We start from the raw sequence: 13,364 nt of genomic DNA on the forward strand, positions 1-13,364 counted from the left end.
CTAGCTAGGACTACAGGCACATGCCACCACACCCAACTAATTTTCGTAGAAACAGGGGTCTCATTACATTGCCCAAGCTGGTCTCAAGTTCCCGGTCAAGCAATATTCCCACCTCCCAAAGTGCTGGGATTACAGTCATGAGCCACCACCAGGGCTTCATCTTTTTAATGCCTTTATCTGAGAAAAAATAATTACTCTGAAGAGGAAACTGTCAGAACAATTGCCAAATAATGAAACTTTTGCAGTATTGTGTTTCCATATCTATTGTTCAAAATTCATCATCAGAGTTAGAACGTCGCGCAGGATCAAGTTGTGCTTGTCAATGGCCCAGTGTGTTTATATCTCATACAATGCAATTGCTTCTCAGGCATTTCTGTTGGGTGTGGAAGACTGATTTTGGGAAAACAGAATGAAAATAAACTTGAATATTTCCTAAATTCGTATGTGATCAGTGTTTTGTGAATTTGTAGAAAGATTCAAACAATTGAATAGAAATTTAATACCAATGGTCACTATATGAAATATAACTGTGGATTTGAAATAAAAATTTCAGGGACTTATTTATGAATTTTTAAATATTGGCTTTAAGTTAAAGCCAAAATGAGGTCTGAGAGCTTCTAGTTTTCTTTTGTTCCCCCACATATTTGAAAACTGAAATTCTGTAAGAGATTATCTGTGAAATGCCTTTCTTTCATTACACCCATAAATTTTAGGAGTGGCTTTGATCAAGCCTTCTGCCATTCTTGGTTTCTAAGTCTTTTACTCATACGTTAATAACTTTAAAAACATTCGTTCTATTTTTGTTGTAATGAAAGAGGAAGTTTCCAAATAGTTAAAAGGGAAACATTGAAAATAGAACACAGTAAATGATAACTAAATTAGGGTAGGTTACTCCTCCCCCCCGAAAGAGCAATGCTCCATGCTGAAACTTGCCAGGGTATTTTTTTTTTTTTTTTTTAGACGAAGTCTTGCTCTGTTGCCTGCCCAGGCTGGAGTGCAGTGGTGCGATCTTGGCTCACCACAACCACCGCCTCCCGGGTTCAAGAGATTCTCCTGCCTCAGCCTCCCGAGTAGCTGGGACTACAGGTGCACACCACCATGCCTGGCTAATTTTTGTATTTTTGGTAGAGACAGGGTTTCACTATGTTAACCAGGCTGGTCTCGAACTCCTGACCACGTGATCCACCCGCCTCAGCCTCCCAAAGTGCCCAGCCAGTATTTTAAGATTATTGTCTGAAAAGAAAATGTGCCAGAGAATTGATATCCTCAGAGGAAAAGCATTACAGAAATGCAGGGTATTATCAGTAACGCATACTATACATAGAACAATGTTTGTCTTCCCTAATACTGTGATCAGTGGAGTTTTGTTTTCTGGCTCGTGTTTAAAAGACACACGCAACTTGCAAATCGAATGAGTTAACGCTCCGCCGACTTCTCTAGACATTGACCTCGGGGGTCAAACTCTTAGGAAAATTGTGCTGGTTTTCCATTCCCCTGATTCCAGTCCCTACCAACAAGTAAATCCTATCTCTGAGTGGAAGCTCACAAAGAATTTCTCGAGAGAATATGTAGCTGTGTTGGCAACAAGTCTCTCTGCAAAATGGGAAGGAAGAGTTGTTAACTGATGAGTCAATCCAGCTTTTATAGCAGTTTATCTATCTTCGTGGTATTTCCAAGAGCATAAATGCTATTAAAAAAAAGAGACGGTCATGACAGGAAGAACACAGTAGAAAAAAACAGGAACATTTAAGCCAAAAGCAATTTACTTTGCCAGTAACTGGTTACATTTCCCTTTGTTTTATTATTATTATTGCAAGAGTTGGGGTTGACATAAAAGTTTCCCACACCTGCACTGCCCTGCCATGTAACTTGTGTGAACCCGTAGTGAAATAAATATATAAACAAATTGTCTGCAACTCAGCTTCTAGACCCTTTAAGAAAAACAAACTTGTTTTGCTATATTGTTGAGAAAATAGACTATAATTCATTAATATTTGAAGGAGTTTAAAAAGAAAAAACAAACATGGGTTAGCTGTCAGAGTAGCCTGGAGCTCTGGAGGTAGCTTGATTCTCTGAGGATTAACACCTATAGAAATAGCAGTGACTTCACAAAGGTGAATAGTTGTTAATTTCTTGGCACTGAGTAAGAGGAACAGATGGGCAGTCAGAGGGGAAAGATTTTTTTTTTAAACCACAGAGATCTTTCACTGATTAGGCAGAAGAGTCAGTGGCCCACTGGTTAAGGAGGGTAATATGTAGGGCTCTCTGACTAAGTTTTATTGGCCTTAGTGGGAGTCTTGCCACCTACTGCTGGGTCAAGACTAAAGGGGACCCCACTCGCTGTCAATTCTGTCGGACAGTGTTTCCTGTCTGGGGTGGGCTGCAGCACCCTCGTGCTATGTAGTACTTGAGTGTTTTCATTTGCGGAGAGCTCCCTGGTGACTGCCAGCCCAAGTTAGTATGAATACTTCATTTTGAGGCAATGTGTGTGTGTCTGTGTGTGTGTGTGTGTGTGTGTGTCTGTGTGTGTGTCTGTTAGAGATAAGTTGCTTAAAGCAGGGGCTCTGGATAAAGTCCAGTTGCCTGTGTTGAAATCCTTCTGCTGCCAGTAACCATTTGTATGGTCTGAGACAAGTAATTTCATCTCTGTCTCAGTTTCCTGGTCTGTAAGATGGGGATAAGGATCATGCCTTCCTCTTTGGCTTGCTGTGAGTTTTAGTGGAATTATTGTATGCAAAGCACTCAGAAGAGTGACTTGTACAGAGAAAGTGCTCAGAAATGGTTAGCTACTATTATTATTCACTTAGCTACTCTTATTATTCATGTATAATACTGAAAACATTCATGCAAAGAGCATTTACTGAACTCTGTGATAAGCCAGGCCAGTGAATCATATACACACGTAAAAGTAACAGTACGTCTATTGCTTTGCACTGTTTTTTTTCTAATAAAACTGACTGAAGCCAGATATGCTATCAGTAAGGGTACTGCTCTCTCCCTAGCAGAGCTTTTTCTTGGTAGAGATCAGTCTCACCTAAAGAACAAGAGCTGGTCTAATTCTGGAGTCTTAGGATTTAGGTTCTGTCAGTAAGTACATAGCACTGAGCTTTCAAGGAGAGGGCAGGTGTAGGTCCTTGCAGGGTGGCTGGAAGGAGGTGGGGCTGTCTCTTACATGAGTGAATTAAAGTCCGCAGACCCATCCCACTCCTGCCCACCAGCACACCATAATGCACCTGTTTTCACTCACTGACCTAGCAAATGACAGATTATGACTCTAGAGGGACAAAGATGTGGCCTGGGGACCAGAATTTTTGCTGTCCCCAAAGCCAGTCCTTCAATACCAAAACTTTACCTGGAGTCTTCTGAATCCAAAAGGTCTCTGATTCGATTGCAGAGGCACCTACCCAGTCCTTTGTGTTCCATTCCCCCCACCCCGTACTTTGAATATTTGTGCTCTTCAGGGTGTTTGTGCATTGCATGTGGGGACTAGATTATAGCCTTACTGAGATACCAAAGGCCTTTGGTTTCCTGTCTCCATTCCCAGTGCAAACTCAAGTCACCAGTTTATGTTTCCAGAGCATAAGCATAAGTAGTAAAGGTGAATGCAGTTTTACAAGTGCCCAGTGTGACAAGTATACCACGTGTGAGGTTGGCGGGACCAGTCTATGAGGACAGGAAAGAACAGTATGTGGGCATCTTTATTTCCATTAGTCACTTTTTCATTCAACAAATACATGTTATGCAATGCAGCCTTTTGGGTGTTGTGCTGGGCAGATAAAAGACACATCCCACAGGGTCTTGCCCTTAAGGATTCTCCAGTCTGGTATAATAATATGCCAAAAACCACAGCTAAAGTACAAGGAGTACAGTGATATGTTCCATAAGAGAAGGAGGGAAAAAAAGTTCAGAGGGGAGAGTAGGAGAGGAATTTGATTTTGAGTCCTGAATGACTGGTAGGATTTGCCTAACCATACCTGAAATACGCAAGTACTTGCCTTACTAAGAACAAAGGGCTTTTTCTCTTGATCAAATCCCATTTAGAGTTTACGTTTGTGTGACCAGAATATTAGGTGCTAGTCTGTTCTAAATTTGTAATTCTCAGAATCTGCTGGGGGAGTACATGTGCTTCTCTGGGTTCTGAAAACAGCTCAAAGAATGGAGAAAATAAACCCAGTTTGGGGATGACTTCTTGTCAGTTCCCGGAACCTTTGCCTTTATTTAAAAACAGCATGTTCGATGCAAGTTCTGTCGAAAAGGCCTTTGGGATTTGAAAGCTTTTCTAGAAATAAATGCCTTTTAGGTCTAAGTGCTTTTCACCAAAATGCTAGGAAGGGAAGATCATAGTAACAAGTCTTAGAACAGAGGGGATATTGTTTTGTTTGTTTTAATGAAATGCCTGCGACCTGCTACCCCAAGTTTTGTTTGTCAGCTTTCTGCTCAGCTGTTATTTTGATAAGGGACTTGAAAGTACATCCTTCCCTCGCGGTCATTAAAGTCTTAGCACTTGGGTCAGTTGTGGAAACACTTCTGTGCTACACAAAGTCTTCTAAACAAAACAAATAGTCCATGCCCTGGCTCCAGGCTGCGGACCGTGTCAAATTCATGGAACGTGGCATCGTGCTCTGACAAGGAGAGCAAGAGGTCAGGATCCACAAAACAGGCCGGATGAAATCACCATCTCCGTGCGGGGAGGTGGAGAGAGCAGAGCCCTCCCTGCCAGTCTGGCAACTCCAGCAAAGTCCTCAGGCTCATCCCACACACTCGGTGCTAGTCACTGCTGTGTGTTTACATGAGTAATGGAGCTGCCGGGGGAGGGGAGTTGTAAGCAGAGCGCTGAGCCTCGCAGCTCGCATTCGGAGGGAAGCTGACATCCACACCAAGTCGAGACTTCCAGGGATGTGGCCGGGGAGCAGTCACATGCTGTAGCTTTCATGAGCACAGGCATCAGTCAGGCAGATGTTTGTCGACTGGAATGGGTAATCGCTACTTTCTCTTTGCTTGATTTTTGTTTGTGAGCTTGTTTACCTTTGGTAATTCCAGGCTGGCTTTCTGGGATGGACTTTCAGACCAGCGTTTAGGGGAATGAGAGGAGAGAGCGGGTGTGGGAAGGGGATCCTAAGCCCTAAAGCCTCTTTTTAAACTTTTGCCTCTCTGATTTTAAAGGCAGTTCTGCTTTACTGAGCTTCCACCAACAGTAAAACTGTTATCCGGAGGAGAAAATCAAATTAGTAGGATTAATTGTGTTTGTAAAATGAGTACAGTGTAAAAATGTCCTAAAACCACTGGTTAACTGCCTAAGTAAGATTAACAACAATCAAGAAGGTTCATGTTGTTTAGATTTGACATTGTCATAATCACTCCTTAAGTAATAAAAAGTGTGGGTGCCTTGAAAGGTCTGAAGGAAATTGTTTAGGGTATAATTCATTAGCTTGGAGTCATTCTAGGGGTGGTTGGTTAGTTGGTTGTTTTTAATTTTGCTTGACTTGGGTGACTGATGAAGTTAAATGTGAAAGCTGATGCCGGATAGTCATAGCTCTCAATAAACAGCAGCCTTTTCCCCCTACTTTCTGTGTAGATCTTAAAAGGAACAAGCTCAGCATCAAGGATGAAATAGAACTTTGATTTGTATCTTGTCTTTTCAAAAGTGTAACCCCCATGGAATCAGGCTAACCCCAGTGTAATCTTTGGATGTTATATTAAATAAGCCTTAAGATCTTCATAAAAATATATTGAAAAGGAAAAGACAGCATGCTGATTTAAATGTATCTGTCAGATTTGTTGAGATTTGAAACTTGCTGGTTGCAGTATTGTTAGTAAATATATGTAATAATGTTTTCCAGCTTGCTGTTGTGAATGCCCCTCTCTCTATAGCTATCTCTCTACTTATCTGTATGGTAATTTGAGAGAATGCCCTTGTCTCTGAATATTTTGTAAAAGAGATGTTTTCAAACATTTCATTACTATGATACCATAAGGGCAGGCATGTCACTTAGGTTTCGGAAAGCAAGATACAAAACAAAAACCAAAGATTGAGCTCAAAGCCTGGCTCAGTTTTTCAGCACCAAATGCTTCTTGTCTAACAACGTGGAAGGACATTTTTCTTATCATGATCCTTTAGAGCTAAGAGCTTCGTGTTACTTCTATTAATTAGACATGTTAAAGCTAAATAGATTAGCTTTGGGAAACGTGTACAGAAATGTATACTCTACCAATATGCAAGCCTTCAGAGAGAGAAGCATGTAATAATGAGGGCTGCCTGCCACAGATCTGTACATTTCTCTGAACAATTAGAAGGGATCACTGTAGTGAGATTCTGGGTCTTTAATAAAGAAACCCATGCAAGTGAAAATGTATATCAATTGTTTTCCATTTGTTTTCAGCGCCAAATCTTAAAGGCAGACCACGCAAAAAGAAACCATGCCCACAAAGAAGAGATTCATTCAGTGGTGTTAAGGATTCCAACAACAATTCCGATGGCAAAGCCGTTGCCAAGGTACGGTCATTCACTCCACGGTATTCATTTCGTTGCATCTTTTTATTTTTGCTTTTTCTCTTTATCTCTCTGTGCCTGTGTCTTGGAGGCAGTTTTCAATTCAGCATCTGACTTTGGTATTCAGAGCTTTTGAAGCTCTATGCTGTGCCTGTTCCTGCCACCTCCCTTCCCCTGGTTGCCGTGGGCTGGGGGAGGTAGGCATTTTGATTAGTCAACAGAAAGACTTCCTACCTCCCAGTTTGGCCTGTTATGAGTAAAGGACAGATGATTAAGCACCCACGTCATTGAGGCTGAGATTTCATAGTGGGTGACACAATGACATAGTTTACTCTGCTTGTGTCAAAAATAGACCAGCTGAACCGTCCTCTTTCTGAATGTGTTCATCTAAATGTGTTTTGGAGATTAACAGAGGATGAAATTAGAAATAGCTAGAATTAATCTTTTTAGTTATGTATTTTTCAAAGTCACTTCTAATTTACATTAGACTAAAATTAAAGATACATAGCAAAATATTTAGATGTATACATATGCCCACAAGCATTTATATACTTTTAAAGATCTCTGTTAACATAGAATGAAAGTAAATTCTACGCTGTTGTTCAAGACCCAGGTCAATTTTTTACCTAAGCATTCTTTGGAATCTTGAAAGTGCATGCATGCCTGAAGTATTTTGCACGACAAAGGGTAAAGTATCACTTTATATTTTTAGACTTACCTTTCTGACTTTTGTGGGCTTGGGTCAGATTTCCATGGTTCTGTTTACTGCATTTAGGTGTTATTTTTGTGCTAAAGACAGCAATCGTCCCTTTAGGATTTTAGTTGACGAACAGATTTCAACTGACACCAGTTTCCAGATCAAATAACTAAACTTCTGAAAATGGGACCATTTTGATTAGTGGTGAATTTGGAAGAGTCTGATGTAGAAAAAAAAAAACATGAGTTAAGTTCTGTGTTGACAGTCTACTGTTTCTCTGCCATGTACTCTACCTCCTTCCCAGTGTAATGAAGTAAATCTTAGACTTTCACATTCTAAAAAATCTTATCTTTAAGCATCATTGTTTCATTAGGAAATTTTAAGGACTTTTTTGCTTAGAATTTCTTCATACTTCTAAGATTCCAAAGGGTTAAGAAGAGATCAACCAGTAGAAATGTGTATTTTCCAGTTTCTTGCTGAAAACAAATCTCTTTCCCTAAAGTTATTGTTGTTTTGCACATTTAACTTTCTGCGAATTAACTCCACATGGATGCCATGAATGACATTTTCTTGTAAGTTGGACACCTCAGCCCTAGAACTATCTACCTAGGACTTTGGTTTCCATCGTCTTGAAGGATGTCAGCAGGAACAGTTCATTCCCTACTATGTAGTTTGCAAGATCCTGCAGAATGGCGCAAGAAGGTTTCAAGACCATAACATTCAGCAGAGCTTGTACTGCCCATGCCTTCTGTTGGTGCCCAGCCCATCCTTCTTGGTTGACAGCATTTGTTTACTCCAGCATATTCTGTACCTGAGCCCGGCAGGATAAAGCTCCTTCCCATGCCACTTGGAATCACCACCAAGGTCTGCTTCTGAGAATTTTACAGAACTCATACAATTGATCTGAAAGAGCAGACCTCCAATGTTTCTTTCCATGGAAGGCAGCTCAGAACTCACTGTTGGGTTCACAAAGCCGAGAAGAACAAGAGCCTGCTATACAGATGGGCCATATTTGATGTTCACTGACTTCTTAACAAGAAGGATAGAAGTCAGTCCTGGGTTTTCTAAGTGACGCCTTTACTCCATCCCCGCAACAGTGCTGCCCGTCAGAATCTTTACAAAGAGATGGATCATTCTTCCACCGTTGGTGTTCAATGGTGAACAGATGAATGTCATGCTGCAGTCAGCTCCTAGGGACTGGTCTAATGGCTTGGCTCTTTTCAGAGTCTTGGATTACAGTCATGCCTTGGCTGCTTCCAGTGGGTCTGGCAAGACCACTTAAGCAAAAAGATCAGTAGGTATGAAGTGTGACGAGCTTGTCTGTTGACACCAACAGGCAGATGTAAAATCCCTACAGAATGAACAAGCCACATCTGGGATGAGGACAGTCATTAAAAAGCATGTGTGTCTTAACATGGTCTTTTCTCATGAAACACTGCAGTAGAGATTATGAGTCTGTGACCATCTAATCATCTGTTGAATTGAAAGCAGCATCTTAGAGGACAGTGAGCTGTTTGACTTTGTGACCAAGACCCATGTGACTGTTTCTTTTTAAAAGTGCCTCAAACAGACCATTTCTAACTAAGCACCAACTTCATGCAGCTCCACACAGCAAAGCTCTTAGAGTGGGACCCACTGGGTTTGTTGTGTTCATGACTGGAAAAATAAGTCAAGTGATTTGCCGGTCGCCATCAAAACGTTGCACTCCCTCAATGAGAACATGAAAACCAGCTTTGCAAGACCATGTTTTCCAACGGAGAGAGAATTACATGGCTCCCCAAAGACAGCAAGTGTCACGTGGGGAGGAAACTACCAGTTCTTTGAAGATCTCATGACTGTGTTCAGCCCAAATCCTGCCATTTTTTTCTGGAATAATCTTAAAGCAGTGAACCTGAGGCCCAGGCCTTTCATAGAGTGATCTATAACAGAAATCTTCATGGCATAGGACCCTAATAAAAGGCCTACATTGATAGAAGGCAAATTATTTTTAATATCCCGTATGCATTTTCTGAAGGGCAGAAGTGTATTACAGGTGGTTTATATTCTAAAAGGAACACAAAAAAGGAAACTGTGGTGGGAAGTGTGTTCATTTAAACCATAAACATACTTTCTATATTTCACAAATGTGATACTTTCATTATTTTCAATATTTTTCCTCTCATTTGGTCCTCAGAACTATTCCCAGGGATTATCATTTTTGCTTTACTAAGGTAGAAACTGAGGGTCACCTAGCAAGTTAGCAACCAAACCAAGATTAGAACTCTAGCTTTTTGTATTGCTGGTTCAGCACATCTTACTGCCCCAGTTGAAGGCTGGATTAGTTATAACTCAATCCCGTGGAAGGATGTGGTTAATATCAAATAGGTGGTGGATCATTGAAAACGTTAAATGTTGATTCTTTAATTAGCACCTCCTCAATCATTTTGGAAACCCCAAAGTACTTAGTGAACTCAACAGGTGTATGGTGTTCAGGTCAGGAAAAACAGATCTAGTAATTAACTGTCACCATCAAAAGGCTGGGCTTTCTTAGGTCAACATGAAGACTAGCTCCCATTTCCACTACCACCTGCACTGTAATAATTTAATAGATTGAAATGCTGAGAATGCTTTGGGTAAATGTAAAAACATACAGAAAGGAACTTGATTTAGTCCTACCCAGAATCAGAATAATACCCTAAAGAGCTCATTTATCTTAACTGAAAAAAAAAAATATCAAGCTAGAACAAGAAAAGAAGCTTCTGTTTACTTGTTCACTTCTTACTAAGTACCTGGCCTCCCCAGGAGCAGCATGCTGGCAAGCCCACTGAGATTCAGGACAGAGTTCAGTAGGCAGCAGCCTGGCTTCATTTGGAGCCTTTGCTATGTAGCAGGGAGTCTGGGTTACTTTGGACCTGGTTCATGCACCCCTCTGTGTCTTCTTTCTGTTTCTGAGTGTTTCTACACAGATGAGGAAGAGGGTTAAGCAGCTCTCTACACACCAAGGAGCTCAAACCTTATTCTCCTTTTAACAGTGGTTCTTCTGACCTAATAATATAGGTAGTTGGCCCATTATCACTGCAAATTTAAGACTCAGTCAGTTTTGTACACAAACCTGAGAGATCTACTCCTTTATGTTATAAAATTGGGGTTTGGAGTGGGGCAGACCTGAGTTCTAAACCCAGAGGTCTGCCCCTTCCAAACCATACATGACCTCACTAAGCTCTAGTTTCCTCAACTGTAAAATGTGGCTAAATATCTCCCTTTTACAATTCTCAGGAACATGAAGGTAGAGTATGTGAAGCCCACAGCACTGTATCTAGCTCATTGTAGGTGCTCAATTGAAAACTGATTTCCTTCCCCTTTGCTCAATATACAATAGGAGGAATGGAGCTCCTTGACACATTGGAAACCCCCTAGATTTGTCTTTTGCTTTTCATTTGATAAATCACATTTCTAAGTGGTAGGTTTCGTAATGCCTGGTAATAAGATAGGCTTTTTAATTAGAAGTTTGTTTTCATTACCAATTTAATATTTGTATTAAGAGTGTCAGAAAAGTATAACATTTAAAACCATAAGCCCTAAAGTAAGGCTGCCTGGGCTTAAATTCCAGATTCCCCACTTACTAACTAGGGCATGATCTTGTGATGTTGTACATGCTGCTCATCCTGTCTACCTCCGTTTCCTCATTTCTAATACGAAAATAATAACTACCTCATTCGGGTTTTAAGTTTGAAATAACACATAAACAGCGTTGAGAATGGAGCCTGGCTGCCCAGGAAACACTCAGGAAGGGGTGGGAGGCAATACAAATTAAAACTGGAGTGATGTTATGATTTCAAGAAGCCATTAAATTATAGATTTCATCAGAACTTTAGATCCAACAGCCTAAAATTTGGCAGTGAAAAATGATGACAACATAAAGTTTCACGGGATGTTCGCCTTCATATAATGTTAGAGAGTACAAAATCTACATGGGAAAATTGTTTTAGTCCCATTTCCATAGCCCCTTAAAAGTTAAAATCCTACCTAGAAGCCCCATTGAATCAGTTTCAGAGGAAGTTTTATCTTTGCAGGACCAGTCGAAAGATATTAAACTGTATGTGTTCACTTGAGAGAATAAGCAATGAAGAACTCCTGCAGAGAATGTACTTTCCTTTACTAAATAAGCATAGTCTTTTATGTTCTTAATGCTTAGGAAGGAGGAGCTGCAGGGAAAGAAAAAGGTTCGAAATCCTGTAATGGACAGCATTGTAGAATATGTGGGACATTTTTATTCGTAACATTTCCCCAGCACTTGCCCTCTTCTCTCCCGATGTCAGTTACGGAGATGTAAAGAATATTGGAATGTACACATTCCCCATGGGCACACTTGAACTCAGAGTCTGACCCTTTGTACTTCCCCCTTTTACAATTAAAATAGCTCAGCAACTTAGTGTTATATTTAACGACCATCAAAGTCCTCTTGTAGAACATGGCAGTGAGGAGGGAAAGTTAGGTTAGCCGCTCGATATGCCAAGTTCCCTGTCTGCCTACAGTGTGGAAGGAAGAACATCTGGAGACTTTACCGCCTTTTATTTTTTAATTATGGAGCTTTATACTCACTCTTCTTGGGTTTTTAGCTGACCTCTACTCTTTCTTTTGTGGCAAGTTAACATCTTATTCTTAGAGCTGACTGATAAAGCAAGAAGCCCTCATTAAACAGTGAGATCTTTTGTTTCCTACTGAGGGTGTACCCCCGCATCACTCTTGGGTGGCAAACAGCAGAGGCCTTGCTGGTATTGCTGATGCCAGCATCTGCTGGTATTGACTTGTTTTTCAAGGTTGCTGGAGAGAATAGCAACAAGAGTGGTTTACTACAAAGAAATAGACTTGCCTTTCATTTTGATACAAAGTATAAAATATGGTTCTATTTGTTAAGGAGGCAGGGTTTGTTCAAGGACATTAACTGATGCTTCTCCTTAAGAAAATAAAATGTATTGATATAGAGAGACAAAAGAATGTTTCTACCAGATGCAAAGGCTATCTCTCATTTCACATCAACATACTTGTCAGGAGTCTAAAAGAAGCTGGCATAGTTTGGCAAACTATGACCCACTGGCTGGCAATTTCTGTCAATAAAGTTTTATTGGAACACAGCCACACCCATTTGTTAACATATTGCTGATGCCTGCTGTCCTACTAGTGTTGAATAGTTGCAACAGAGACTGTATGACCCAGAAGCCTACAATATTTACGATGTGGCCCTTTACAGAAATTTGACATCCCCTGGCCTCAGACAATTCATCTTCAGTGATGCCTCTGAAAAGCTATTAAAAGCAGGGATAATTTACCGGTTCACCCTTAGCACTCACTGAAAAGTGTTGCTGGCTCTGTCACTAGCTATGTCTTGGTAAGCATCCTGGGGCTGTGCCTCGTCTGATGTGGTATATTTTCCCTTTTCCAGGTGAAATGTGAGGCCAGGTCAGCCTTGACCAAGCCGAAGAATAACCATAACTGTAAAAAAGTCTCAAATGAAGAAAAACCAAAGGTTGCCATTGGTGAAGAGTGCAGGGCAGATGAACAAGCCTTCTTGGTGGCACTTTATAAATACATGAAAGAAAGGAAAACGCCGATAGAACGAATACCCTATTTAGGTTTTAAACAGAGTGAGTATACTTGTTTTCGTTTCTGAATTATCAGAGCTGCTCAGATTCTTTGAATTGGAAAAAATAATTTTGACTCAGGATTATGTTGAAATCCTAATCTGGGGATAGTGCTCTCTGTTTATACTAAATCCATAAATGTTCCAGGCCAAGAATTTTTTCCCTGCCTTTTTCCGCTACATTGTTCCCTTCTGGGACAGTTGCAGTGAGATATTTATAGGCTTGAATCCACTGATTATGACTGGAAATAGACATGTTGAAAGTTTCTCATTTGCTGTTTTGTCAATCTTGAGTGTCTGTGACGCCTTTCTTGTGAGATAATAATATGACGTAGCTTTATCAGGCACAGATGTTGCCTGTGAAAAAAACAGCTTTTAAAAGGAGGACATTTAAAGATGGACAAAACAACCACAAAGGGAAAACACATTTCCTAAGCCCCAAATGTGTTAAAATATAACAAAAATCCAACTTCAGAGAAAACAAGAAATACACAAATTGGAACAGAGGGCCTAATTTTGAATTACTTTGACATGTACATTTAAATATAAGTGTCATT

The 13,364-nt window shown here is 40.4% G+C and overlaps 1 protein-coding gene across 2 annotated transcripts in view, besides 10 other annotated features; it reads left to right on the forward strand.

Annotated features, from left to right (window-relative positions):
• The window catches only part of ARID5B (AT-rich interaction domain 5B), a 195,246-nt gene that overhangs the window by 142,809 nt on the left and 39,073 nt on the right, over positions 1-13,364 (forward strand). The window contains exons 1-3 of one of the 2 annotated variants that reach the window (NM_001244638.2): positions 4,850-4,976; positions 6,381-6,493; positions 12,610-12,811. In NM_001244638.2, coding sequence (NP_001231567.1) covers positions 4,973-4,976; positions 6,381-6,493; positions 12,610-12,811 — 319 coding nt within the window. In that variant the 5' untranslated portion in view covers positions 4,850-4,972. Of the gene's footprint in view, positions 1-4,849; positions 4,977-6,380; positions 6,494-12,609; positions 12,812-13,364 lie in introns of those variants that run through there. The other variant, NM_032199.3, reaches the window with a different exon arrangement.
• Positions 1,922-1,971: an enhancer, noted in NCBI's record as "active region_3404". NCBI's record gives its function as "activates an Ori minimal core promoter by ATAC-STARR-seq in GM12878 lymphoblastoid cells {active_cell/tissue: GM12878}" and the evidence as "EXISTENCE:reporter gene assay evidence [ECO:0000049][PMID:35858748]".
• Positions 2,102-2,241: an enhancer, noted in NCBI's record as "active region_3405". NCBI's record gives its function as "activates an Ori minimal core promoter by ATAC-STARR-seq in GM12878 lymphoblastoid cells {active_cell/tissue: GM12878}" and the evidence as "EXISTENCE:reporter gene assay evidence [ECO:0000049][PMID:35858748]".
• Positions 3,032-3,091: an enhancer, noted in NCBI's record as "active region_3406". NCBI's record gives its function as "activates an Ori minimal core promoter by ATAC-STARR-seq in GM12878 lymphoblastoid cells {active_cell/tissue: GM12878}" and the evidence as "EXISTENCE:reporter gene assay evidence [ECO:0000049][PMID:35858748]".
• Positions 3,672-3,741: an enhancer, noted in NCBI's record as "active region_3407". NCBI's record gives its function as "activates an Ori minimal core promoter by ATAC-STARR-seq in GM12878 lymphoblastoid cells {active_cell/tissue: GM12878}" and the evidence as "EXISTENCE:reporter gene assay evidence [ECO:0000049][PMID:35858748]".
• Positions 4,362-4,451: an enhancer, noted in NCBI's record as "active region_3408". NCBI's record gives its function as "activates an Ori minimal core promoter by ATAC-STARR-seq in GM12878 lymphoblastoid cells {active_cell/tissue: GM12878}" and the evidence as "EXISTENCE:reporter gene assay evidence [ECO:0000049][PMID:35858748]".
• Positions 4,632-4,801: an enhancer, noted in NCBI's record as "active region_3409". NCBI's record gives its function as "activates an Ori minimal core promoter by ATAC-STARR-seq in GM12878 lymphoblastoid cells {active_cell/tissue: GM12878}" and the evidence as "EXISTENCE:reporter gene assay evidence [ECO:0000049][PMID:35858748]".
• Positions 4,632-4,937: a biological region, named in NCBI's record as "Sharpr-MPRA regulatory region 11943".
• Positions 4,643-4,937: an enhancer, noted in NCBI's record as "tiled region #11943; K562 Activating DNase matched - State 4:PromP". NCBI's record gives its function as "activates a minimal TATA promoter and a strong SV40 promoter by Sharpr-MPRA in K562 cells {active_cell/tissue: K562}" and the evidence as "EXISTENCE:reporter gene assay evidence [ECO:0000049][PMID:27701403]".
• Positions 5,976-7,175: an enhancer, noted in NCBI's record as "BRD4-independent group 4 enhancer chr10:63810242-63811441 (GRCh37/hg19 assembly coordinates)". NCBI's record gives its function as "activates an origin of replication core promoter dependent on BRD2, P300/CBP, MED14 and CDK7 cofactors, and independent of BRD4, by STARR-seq in HCT116 cells {active_cell/tissue: HCT116}" and the evidence as "EXISTENCE:reporter gene assay evidence [ECO:0000049][PMID:35650434]".
• Positions 10,178-10,297: an enhancer, noted in NCBI's record as "active region_3410". NCBI's record gives its function as "activates an Ori minimal core promoter by ATAC-STARR-seq in GM12878 lymphoblastoid cells {active_cell/tissue: GM12878}" and the evidence as "EXISTENCE:reporter gene assay evidence [ECO:0000049][PMID:35858748]".

This window comes from Homo sapiens, chromosome 10 (genome assembly GCF_000001405.40).
Source record: "Homo sapiens chromosome 10, GRCh38.p14 Primary Assembly".
NCBI classification, from domain to species: domain Eukaryota; kingdom Metazoa; phylum Chordata; class Mammalia; order Primates; family Hominidae; genus Homo; species Homo sapiens.